This window comes from Homo sapiens, chromosome 14 (genome assembly GCF_000001405.40).
Source record: "Homo sapiens chromosome 14, GRCh38.p14 Primary Assembly".
NCBI lineage: Eukaryota > Metazoa > Chordata > Mammalia > Primates > Hominidae > Homo > Homo sapiens.
Genome location: NC_000014.9, coordinates 67,908,889 through 67,921,303, shown reverse-complemented (window position 1 = coordinate 67,921,303; position 12,415 = coordinate 67,908,889). Strand labels below are relative to the sequence as shown.

The 12,415-nt window shown below is 37.5% G+C and overlaps 1 protein-coding gene across 12 annotated transcripts in view, besides 1 other annotated feature; it reads right to left on the bottom strand.

Annotated features, from left to right (window-relative positions):
• RAD51B (RAD51 paralog B) overlaps nucleotides 1-12,415 on the bottom strand; it is an 863,318-nt gene that overhangs the window by 761,793 nt on the left and 89,110 nt on the right. The window lies entirely within an intron of this gene.
• Nucleotides 5,405-5,605: a silencer, noted in NCBI's record as "peak2182 fragment used in MPRA reporter construct". NCBI's record gives its function as "represses an SCP1 promoter by STARR-seq MPRAs in K562 erythroleukemia cells {active_cell/tissue: K562}" and the evidence as "EXISTENCE:reporter gene assay evidence [ECO:0000049][PMID:32103011]".

The following is a 12,415-nucleotide window of genomic DNA, read 5'->3' as shown; positions in this document are numbered from 1 at the left end:
CCCAGGAGTTCAGGGCTGCAGTAAGCTATGACTGTACCACTGAACTCCAGCCTGGACAACAGAGATACCCTGTCTGACATGACATGACATAACAAAATACGGATTCCTAGCCCTCCTCTAAGGACTCTGATTTTCCAGGTCTGGAGTGAAATTCAGGAATCTGTTAGGGTTGTTTTTGTTTGTTTACAAACTTTCTCAGTGATTCATATGATCACACATATTTGAGAAATACTGTTCCAGGAGAAACTGACTAAACTCCAGCATGTAGCATGCCTGCTCTATGAGATGGTTCTCAATGTTTCCCCGGTCTTCCCCATTACTCTATGCTACAACCAAATACAAATAAATGTCTGCCATTTCCTCAAATGTTCTCTATCTCCATTTCTTTCTTCTTACTACATATTTTTCTTAAGATAGCCTTCTCTCTTTATTCATTGGTAAATATCATCTATAGGACCTTTAATCTTCTGTTTTACCACCTCTACTTGTTTATATGTCAATTTTTTTTTCCTGGGGACTAAGCATTATCGGAGGGTGGGAATGATGCCCTAACTTGTCCTGTATTCCTAAGACCAAGCACAGAGCCTGTCATACAGCACATATGCCATCAATGTTTGTTGACTGGATTAACTAATGTTCTCAGACCCCTGGGTGACCACATATTACAGAAACTTAACTTCATAAAATTGTACACAGTATTAGAACTTTAAAATAATAATATGCATTTAGATTACCTTTTTCTCCTCTTGAAGTTTTTCTTTATGGGCCATTTATCTGTGCATATATTAACTGGCCAAATGAGAAATGAGATTAGACATAACCATAAACCATATTTATATAAGAGAAATACTGATGTGATACAAACTGCTACATTTTATATGAGTATATAAAAGAAAAAAATGCAAAGATGAAATAGATTTATAACTAATTAGGCAACATTCTTTAAACAGTAAAATTTGTATTTTTTAATCAATCTCCAACAACAAAATAACGTTAGAGTTGAAAAAAATTCAACAAGAAAAAAAATCCATTATTAAATTGGAAGAACATTACTTTATTGGCATAAGTCAATGGAGTACAGAAAACGTATCTTGGGAGGGTAAAATAATTATTACCTAAGAAATTCAGTTGCTTTTCATCTAAAATTAACAACTAAAGTTTTTTCCTTTGTACCGCTCTAGTCATTTTAAAAACAAAATATTCTTATAAACATGATAGCACCATACATACTAAAATAAAAACTGATGAATGCTTATCAATATATAGATGGATTTTAAATCCTTTAAACTACAATAAATGGATAACCCCACTCATTCCCTGGAGAAAAAGAAAAAGAAAAAAAAAGCTTTCTTTTCTAGAATATGACGGAAACTATTCTTCAGCTAATCCAACAGTCAGCCCCAAGCTCTTGCTTTGCCAGTTCAATTACAGATGCTCAAAGGAGCTAAATACTAGGTTTCTGAGCCTCCATTCCAACTATGGGTGATCTAGCAGCAGAGAACTGAAGGGGAGAAAAAGTATTTTTTCCTCAACCTTCTTAAGTATGTAGTTAGCACAGACTTCTATAACAGAAGGCAGATTAACAAGAGAAAAACAGATAGGTTTATTAACGTGTACGGTGCATATCACACAGGAAAAGCCCTCAGTGAAAAGTAACTCAAGGCAGTGGTTCATGAGTCTGGTTTATATAGTATATCCAACAAAGAACAATAAATTTTAGAGAAGTGACAAGGCAAAGGAAAGCAGTCCCAGACTTCCAGAGGTGGGAAACCGTGGAAAGGTAAATATATGGAAGGCACTAATGGAGTAAAGTCAGCTTGCAGATTCCTCTGGCGCCGTCTCTGAGATGATAAAGGGTTTTTTTCCAGTAAAGAATTTACATCCTGTCTTTAGGGGAGAAAGGGAGGAGGGAGGACAGCAAGACATTTTTCTCTGTAAATCTGTGTCCTGCTTTTAGGCAGAGAGCTCTACTGCATCTTAACTGTCTTCAGCTCGAGAATCCTTCACATTTTGGGGAGGCATATTCTGGTTTCCTACAGTACTAAACTTTACGAACCTTCACAGAATACTATAATTGCCTGCCTACTTGCATGTACCCCTTATTACAGTGTAAGCTCCCTTAAGTTAGGGACAGTTTATTCCCTAATGTCTGAACAAACTATGAAACTCTTTCAGAATAATCACATGCATCAGTTTAATTTGGTTTGTACAGACATCTTCCCTGGAGTTTCCACCTTCCTGCTCCAATCTGTACTAGTCATCTCTAGGCTTGCTACTCAGCTGTCATCCTGGACTTTTGTTCACCATCATCTTGCAAACTTCCTCTCTCTCTCCAGTGTTACATTCCCCATTTTCCTAGATTTCATGCCTTCTTTCACATACTTCAATAGCTTCCTGTGGGGAGATGTGTAGGAGATAAATTTTTTGGCACTTTGCATGCTAAAAAAATATCTTTAGGCTATCCTCATAATTGATTGACTATTTGGTTGGAATTAGAAATCTATGTTTGTCATAATTTTCCCTCAGCACTTTGAAGGTATTGCTTCCTTGTCTACTAGCTTCCAGTGTTAGTTTTGAGTTAAGTCTGACACTCCACTAATCCCTATTCCTTTCCTTGTGACTTGTTTTTACTCTCTGGCACTCTGAAATGTCCTGGTAATATGTCTTTTTCCCCCTCATTAATGGTGCTGAGCACTTTCAATTTAGAAACAGATGTCCTTCAGTTCTGGAAATTTTTCTTGCATTGTTTCACTGATAATTATTTCCCTTAGCTGAGCACAGTGGCTCATGCCTGTAATCCCAGCATTTTGGGAGGCCGAGGCAGATGAATCAACTGAGGTCAGGAGTTTGAGACTAGCCTGGCCAACATGGTGAAACCCTGTCTCTACTAAAAATACAAAAATTAGCCGGGTGTGATGGTGCATGCCCACAATCCCAGCTACTCGGGAGGCTGAGGCAGAAGAATTGCTTGAACCCTGGAGGTGGAGGTTGCAGTGAGCCAGGATCATGCCACTGCACTCTGGCCTGGGCAACAGAGTGAGACTCCATCTCAAAAAAATAAATAAATAAAATTATTTCCCTTCCCTTTTCTTTGATCTCTCTCTCTCTCTGAAAATCTTTTTAGAAAGGAGATGGGCCTCCTGAGTAGATTCTCCATTATTTTTAATATTTCTGTAATATTCTTACATCTCTTTGGCTTTTATATTCTGGGAGATTTCTTCAATCTTATCCTCCCATCCATCATTTAAAAATTTTTTTCTATCACATTCTGTGAGCTCTTTTTCCCTAAGTATCTCCCTTTTGCAATCTCTTATTCTTGTTTCATGTAGCAATTTATTCTCTGATCTCACAGAGATAATGGTCAGATTCTGTGCTCAGTAATTTACATTCACCATATTTAATCATCACAACCAACCCATTGGTAGATGTCATTATCTCTGCAAGAATGCCAAACAGACATCTCAAACTCAATATATATATATATAGTACTGAACTCCTGATCTTCCCCCTCAAATCTGCTCTGTCCACAGTGTTCCTCTTATCAGTTGATAACAGCTCCATCCATTCAGTTCCTGAGCCAAAAACATAGACTCCTTTTTGTTTCATATAACATACTCAAATCGTCAGGAAATCCTGTTGTCTCAATCTCAAAAATATATACAAAATTCAATGATTCCTCAGCATCTTCACTGATAATACTCGTTAAGTTATCATCATCTGTGATATGGTTTGAATATTCTCCCACCCAAATCTCATGTTGAATGTTAATCCCCAACATGGGAAATGGGGCCTAATGGAAGGTGCTTGGGTCACAGGGGCAGATCCCTCATGGCTCGCTGCTGTCTTCACGCTAGTGAGTTCTCAAGAGATCTGGTGGTTTAAAAGTGTTGGGCACCTCACCCTCTACTCTCTCTCTTGCTCTTGCTTTTGTCATGTGATGGGCCTGCTCCCACTTCGCCATCCACCATAAGTAAAAGCTCCCCTGAGGCCTCCGCGGAAGTTGAGCAGATGCTGGTGCCATGCTTCCTGTACAGCCTACAGAATCATGAGCCAATGAAACCTCTTTTCTTTATAAATTACCCAGTCTCACGTATTCCTTTATAGCAACGCAAGAACAGCCTAAGAAAATCTGTTGCCTAGGTTACTAGGAAAAGCTCCTAATGATTCTCCTTTATTTTATTCTTAATGCCCTGCAATCTATTCTCAACTCAGCAATACCAGAGCAAGCCTTTTAAAACTGCATTCAAGTCTTTGCTCAGATGTCACTGGCTCAACGATGCCAACCCTTACTACCCTAATTCTGCACCTCCTTTCTTCTGTATTCAGTATCTCCCTTACCCTGCTCTACTTCCTCTCTGCTTACAGCAATTATTATTTTTAACATACAATTCCTTTTTATTGCCTCCCCCATCCTCCGTCCTCTACCATTAGAATGGAAACTGCACTAAGGGAAAGACTGTCATTATTTTATTCACTGGAATACCCCAACACATAGAAGAGTGACTAATAATATTTGTTGAATTAAGTAATAATAACTACTTTATACATGAAGGAAGTAAGGCCTAGAAGATTAACTTGTCTCACATCTAAAACATGAAAAATTTGGTTAGAACTCAGGTTGGCCTGGTACCAAAGTGCACATATTTAACTTAGATTGCCTCTTATCCATGTCTGTGGCTAAAATAAATAAAGCCTCCATAGACTTCCAAGCCCAAGCTTTGAGGTGGGTTCTTATGTTTCTAATAAAAAAAAAAATATTACTGTCAGGCACTGTGGCTCACGTCTGCAATCCCAGCACTTTGGAAGGCCAAGGCAAGGAGGATCACTTGAGGCCAGGAGTTCGAGACCAGCCTGGGCAACATGGCGAAACCCCGTCTCTACAAAAAATACAAAAATTAGCCAGGTGTGGTGGCATGCACCTGTAGTCCCAGGTACTCAGAAGGCTGAAGTAAACTGTGAGCTCCACTACACTCCAACCTGAGCGACAAAGTGAGACCAGTCTCAAAAAAAAACAAAAATGAAACAAAACAAAAAATACTTTAAGTAAATTTAAAGGGAAAGTGTTAATGCAAATGTATGAGGCAATAAAATATGATGGCATTTAACTCAACACAAAAGCCAGCAGATGGAAATTTCTAGCAAGCTTGGAAATTTCTTTGAGCCTTCAACTATCTATCTGGGAACCAGATTGCCAGAGAAACTTCTATTTAAAGATTTCTGACCCCCTAATAGAATATGTACTGCTTCTTCCCACTTTTACTTAGCAGGGCATGCCTTTGTGGTACATGATATATTATCTTATCAAGGATCTTCAAATCTTTCTTCCAAAGATGTACTTTAAACATGTGCTATTGTGTATTTTAGCTGGACTATTGAAAAGTGTTTGGCTACTTCCTCTATTCCTATTCAAACACTTAAATTATATATTCTCCCTAAATAAGAGCTAGGGAGGAAAAAAGCTTCAGGCTCTAATAGGAAATATTATTTTCTTTTTGTAATGGCAGGCTTAGAAAGTAAGGACACAGACTATTTACATGTTGTAACTTTAGACAATACTAACAAACAAAATCCAACTCTTGAGTATGTAATTTGATATACAATCTTATAAATCCAACTCTTATATAAGAATGACATACTTTTGCCCCCTAAAGTCAAGAGGAAAGCTGGGGCAAGCCCTTTCAAGTGTCTTTAAAGGGCAGTAGGTCTAGCAGGCAGGAATAAAGCTGCAGGCAAACAAGATCCTCATGCTATCTTCCTTCACACTCAATACTTAACCCAACGTCATTTCCCTCCAGCAAAGATGATAAAAGCCAATAAAGCTAGAGGTATCAGTTCTGAAAAAATGGGAAGCTATTGCTGGTACTTTTGAGAAAAGAAAAGGCCTATTCTGAAAGAACTCATTCAAGCCCTTTCCTTTCTCCAAGACCCAATTTATTCATTCACCAATTCAAATCTATCCAATAAAAGCTTACTCAGGTATTACAGTAGACAGTTGTTTCTGACTGACACCTAATCCCCCCCTTCTTCTGATAAACATACCCCATTTCTTTTATAAAACATAATTTCAACTTTTGTTTTAGATTTGGGGGTATAAATGCACAGGTTTGTTACAAGGGTATATTGCGTGATGCTGAGGTTTAGAATACAAATAATCCCATCATGCAGATAGTGAGCATGGCACCCAGTAGTTAGTTTTTCAACCCTTGCCCACCCTCTAACTTCCCCCTGTAATGGTCCCCAGTGTCTACTGCTCCCATCTTTATGTCCATGAATACCCGATGTTTAGCTCTCACTTAGAAGTGAGAACATGTAGTATTTGATATACCCTATTTCTTTTGGAAAACTATTCCTCCACACTCTCAGACCATGTGTTTTGGAAGAGGTGGCATCCCCGACAAAAAGAACACTTGTTTACAATATGACAGCTGAAACAAGAAGGTAGATATCACCTTATTCAGCTTCAGATGGGAACATGCACATTGGTGACTCCATATTTTACTGCTCTGCACATGTCTGCAAATGACCATGAAACCAACAAGATCATTAATTTGGGTGTTACAAATAAACTCTGACAAGGAGGTAAACATACAAACACCAAGTCTACAAAAAAATGAGGATCAACTGTATATGCATAATTGCAGAAAACATGAGTGTCTTCCTCTCTAACCTCAGTGCAATGAAAGTCTCTCCAACTATGACTAAAATTTAGACATAATAAAAGAAAATATAAATATATTTTACTACATAAAAATTTATGCATGGCAAAAAAGTACAAAAAGATCTTAAAAGCAACAAGAGAAAAGAAACAACCTAAGTATCCATCAGCAGATGAATGGATAAAGAAATGTGGTACATATACTCAATGGAATACTATTCATCCATAAGGAAACAATGAGAACTTGTCATTTTCAACAACATGGATGGAACTGAAGGTCACTGTGTTGTGTAAAATAAGTCGGACACAGAAAGACAAACTTCACATGTTCTCACTTATTTATGGGAGCTAAAAATTAAAACACTTGGCCGGGCACAGGGGCTCAGACCTATAATCCTAACACTTTGGGAGGGCAAGGTGGGTGGATCACTTGAGGTCAGGAGTTCAAGACCAGCCTGGCTAATATGGTGAAACCTCGTCTTTACTAAAAATACAAAAATTAGCCAAGCGTGGTGGTATGCACCTAATATCCCAGCTACTCTGGAGGCTGAGGCAAGAGAATCGCTTGAAAATGGGAGGCGGAGGTTGCAGTGAGCCGAGATCATGCCACTGCACTTCAGCCTGGGTGAAAGAGCGAGGCCCCATCTCAAAAAAAAAAAAATTGAACTCATGGAGATAAAGAGTAAAATGATGGTTACCAGAGGTTGGGAAGAGTAGTGGAGAGTGGGGCAGAGAAGTGGGGATGGTTTATGGGTGCAAAAAAATAGAAAGAGTGAATTTTACAGCACAACAGGTGACTATAGTCAATAATAATTTAATTGTACTTTAAAAATAACTAAAACAGTATAACTAGATTGTAACACAAAGGATAAATGCTTGAGGTGACAGATACCCTACTTACCTTGATGTGATTATTACACACTGTATGCCTGTATCAAAATATCCCATATACCCCATAAATATACATACCTACTATGTACCCACAAAAATTAAAAATAAAAAAATTAATAATAATATTTTAACTGATTCATTAAAGACATTATTAAGCAAAACTGGTATGTGGCAGTGAAGAATGCATTGATTACTAATTTGGTACCACTGTCTTAATTTGAGCTAAGGCACTACAAGTTTTATCCATCACTATTTTCTTCACCATCAGTGCAAATGTCAACACAATGAAAAAAGTAAATGACATCTTAGTCTAACTACGAAAATAGTTTTAACTTTGCAGATACCTGATAAAGTCCCAGAGACACCCAGCAGTCCCAAGATCACATTTTGAAGACCACTGCCCTAGATAAGTATTTCTCAACTTTGATGAATCACCCATAACCTTAAACTAATAAGTCAAAATCTCTTTATACTTTGACAAAGCACCATTAGATGATTCTTAGGTCCACCAAAGGTTGATAATCACTGGCCTAGATGATACAGCAATAGGTAAAACTAGGGTGACAGCAGTGGAAATGGTAGGGGATAACTACCAAGAAACTGTTTTCAGTAAGAACTAAAAGGCATTACAGATTGATGAAATGTAAGAATATGAAGACAAACAGTCAAAGATTTAAATCTTGATTACTGAAAAACTTACGATACTATTAAAAGATTAAGAAGTCAGGAGGAGCTTAAAAACCTAGAGAAGTAAGGCCGGGTGCAGTGGCTCACGCCTGTAATCCCAGCACTTTGGGAGGCCAAGTCGGGCAGATTACAAGGTCAGGAGTTCGAGACCAGCCTGGCCAATATGGTGAAACCCAGTCTCCACTAAAAATACAAAAATTAGCCGGGCATGGTGGCAGGCACCTGTAGTCCCAGCTACTTGGGAGGCTGAGGCAGGAGAATCACTTGAACCTGGGAGACAGAGGTTGCAGTGAGCCGAGATCGCGCCACTGCACTCTAGCCTGGGCAACAGAGTGAGACTCCATCTCAAAAAAAAAAAAAAACTTAGAGAAGTAGGAGAGAAGATAAATTATGTTTTCCTGATCCTCCTAATCACAGTTAATCCCTTCTTCCTCTGTGTTCTCACTAAATTGTTTGTATCTCTACTTTTACAATTTACTTCATTTAAAATTTTTACTACATTTTGCATTCTATTACAGTGAGCTCTTTCTCTCCCAATCAGTAGAATCTGAACTCCTCAAGGGGATGAATGAGTTTTGGGAGCACCAGCCGTGGGTTCATATAACTATACAATTTTCTGCATGTTACATAATCTCTCTAGCCTCAATGTTATCATGTCTAAAACAGGGATTAGAGACATATTTTCATATACCTAGCATAATGCCTAGTGTACCATAAAAACTCAAAGGACAACAATAACAAAATCAATGAGCATAGCTACATTTCCTTTAAAAAGACTGCTTTTAAAACTAAGACCTTTCCGAGTGAATACAGACCTTTGGTAATTCTCACTATAAAGCACACCACAGAGAGATCATTCTCAGTTAATTACAGAACGATAATCTAATTTGTGAATTGAATCATCCAAAATATCTGGCTACAGACTAATTAAGCCCTCTAAATAAATGGACAAACAAGAAGTACAATTTTAAAATATGCTTTGCTTTTTATGGAATGTGGCACCTGGCTTTGTATAAAGAGTAGAAGAAAATAAATTTTCTGAAAATTCCTAGATTGCTGGTGGATTTAATTTCTTCATGCTATCATATACACAGCTATAGCAGGGGGATGACATTCTTTTCTCTATTCATGTAACTGAAACACACATCTGGTCTAAAAGGCAGTAGTTTATAAGAGTCGCTCCCCAGACAGTAATGGTTCTGGAACACAGGTCCAGTACAAAACTATCTAGTTGAAATAGGAATGGAGCTGAGGAAAGAATGGGAAGGAGTAATTCTAAGGGAGGTAAAATGCAACTCTCAAAGCTGGCTTTTAACCAGCACAGCTAAGGTTACATCTCCTGACTTGCCAAAAATAACGGTAGGGTCTTTTTTACCACAAGTAGTAAAGAGTACAGTTTTAGGTTTCATCTAAAAATAACCATTTAAAAAAATGAAAAAAATCATATCAAAGTATAATGAGAACTATTTAAACTGTATCATGACTCAACAAATGCTGTTTCTATTATAATCAGAAATGGCACCCCTCCAATATTCACAATAGCATGCCTGGAGAAGGTTGTACCTCTTCAGGAAAAACAAACAAGAAAACAAACAACAACTCCAGAATGTCATATCAGGATGCATCCAGTTGCGAGTAAATAAAAATCCAACTCAAAGTGGTGTAAAATAATACTTCTCCAGCTTTTGTGTGCATATGACTTATCTGGGGATCCTATTAAAATGGATTTTGATTCAATTGAACTAGGGTACAGTCTAAAATTCCTCATTTCCAACAAACTCATAGGTAATGCTAATGCTGCCAGTCCATGCACCACCATTTCAATGCAAAGGACTTAATAAGAAAATACATATATTAACACATCTGGAAACCCACAGATAACACTGCTCAATAACATCACCAAGGGCTAACAGTTTTCCATCTGTCTCTGCTCTATTTCCAAAATGAGACTGGGGCTGGGCACGGTGGCTCACATCTGTAATCCTAGAACTTTGGGAGGCACAGATGGGTGGATCACTTGAGGCCAGGAGTTTGAGACCAGCCTGGCCAACACAGTGACACCTCGTCTTTACTAAAAATACATATACAAAAATTAGCCGGGTGTGGTGGAGCATGCCTGTGGTCCCAGCTACTCAGGAGGCTGAGGCAAGAGAAATGCTTGAACCTGGGAGGCGGAGGTTGCAGTGAGCCAAGATTGTGCCACTGCACTACAGTCTGGGCAACAGAGCAAGACTCTGACTCAAAAAAAAAAAAAATGACATTGGGCTCACTATTTCATAAGGATTCTATCTTTTATTCAGCCCTAACGTTGTAAAGGAGAATTATTATTTCAAAATCAGAACGATGCACAATATAAATTATACTAGGCTATCTTCAGATGTAGGTTTATGCTTTTTAATCTGAATTCAATTGGTACCTAATCAAAGTCACTGCACAAATATGGTAAAATACAAATCCAGTAAAATTTTAAAAAAAAAGTTAAAAGGCATCGACACTGACTTTACGAGTCAAAAAATGAGCAATATCAAACTGCAAAGTGGAATAGCAGTAATTTAGTTTCCTAGATTATTTTTAACATATAGTTCACTTTTACAATTTCTTCAGTGAAACATTATTTTTATTTAAATATTTTTTTTTTTTTTTTTTTTTTTTTTTTTTTTTTTTTGAGACAGAGTCTCGCTCTGTCGCCCAGGCTGGAGTGCAGTGGCGCGATCTCGGCTCACTGCAAGCTCCGCCTCCTGGGTTCACGCCATTCTCCTGCCTCAGCCTCCCGAGAAATATTTATAAGTTAAAGCAGAAACAAGAAAACTATGTTCAAAAGAACAGTAAACATCCTTTCTGAAACAGCATTATTGCAAGGGACCTCTTAATGTTGGCTATATTCGTATACGCAGCTGCACAATGTCCACTGTGTATGCCTTGGCCTACATACAATTTGAAAATGGGCCAAAGGCTAAAATGTTGAAGAAAAAAATTTCTGAAAAATTAGACATATTGATAGATCTTAAATTTTACACAAATAAGTACTTATAACCGTAAACCTTAAACAAAGGCCTGTCAAGTTGATAATGGAGAAAACATTATGCAACTGAGGTATTTATAAAAAGTATTTTTTGGCCACATGTGGTGGCTCATGCCTGTAATCCCAACACTTTGGAAGGCCAAGATGGGAGGATGGCTTGAGCCCAGGAGTTCAAGACCAGTCTGGACAATATGGTGAGACCGCATCTTTAAAAAAAACTTTTTTAAAAAAGTTAGCCAGGTGTGTGGTGTGTGCCTGTAGTCCCTGGCTTAAGCCCAGGAGGTGAAGGCTGCAGTGAGCCATGTTCGTGCTACGCTACTCCAGCCTGTGCAACAGAGACCCTCTCTCAAAAAATCCAAAACAAAACAACAACAAAAAAGTATATAATTTTTTACATTAAATATTCACCCACATCATTATTTTTAGTGACTACACAGCATTTTATTGAATTGATGTAATAATTTATTTAATCAAACTCCTCTGATACTTAGGCTTCTTATAAATTTTTACTGATACTACAAACAAAACCGCAAAGATATATTCTTATTTGTTTCCTTATGATAAGTACAGAATAAGTCACAGGAAAGATTCATTTTTAAAGTCTGCAATAAGTTTTGTCAAATTGTTCCTCCAAAAGGCTGGTACTAATTTACATGTTCACTAGCAGTATCCGTTTTCCCACACCATAATTTACACTAGGTATTATCAATTTTTCCACTCTTCAGTGTCTACAAAATATCTCTTCCTCCACTTTTCATTTGTTATAACTCTAGTTTAAGCTCTTATTACCTCACATCTAGAGTGTTAGTCTTTTGTTTTTCATGTGTTTTCTCCTCCAATCTATTCTCTGGAACAGCAGTTTTCAAACTTTATGGCTTCACGACTCTACCTCTTAAAAAAATTACTGAAGATTCCAAAGAGCTTTTGTTTAGGGGGTTATGTCTATCAGTATTTACCAAGTTATAATTAAGAAATTAAAACAAAAGTTTTAATACACAAGCTTGTATTCCATTAGCTATATGAGCAATGATGACATCCTATGTTACAAAGCCTCTGAAAAACTTGTACACTAATGAAAGAGAATGACAAAAAAGTAAACAGTGTCTCAGAATTCTTAGAATTATTAATATTATTATGAAAATACTTTTAATCTTTTCTCC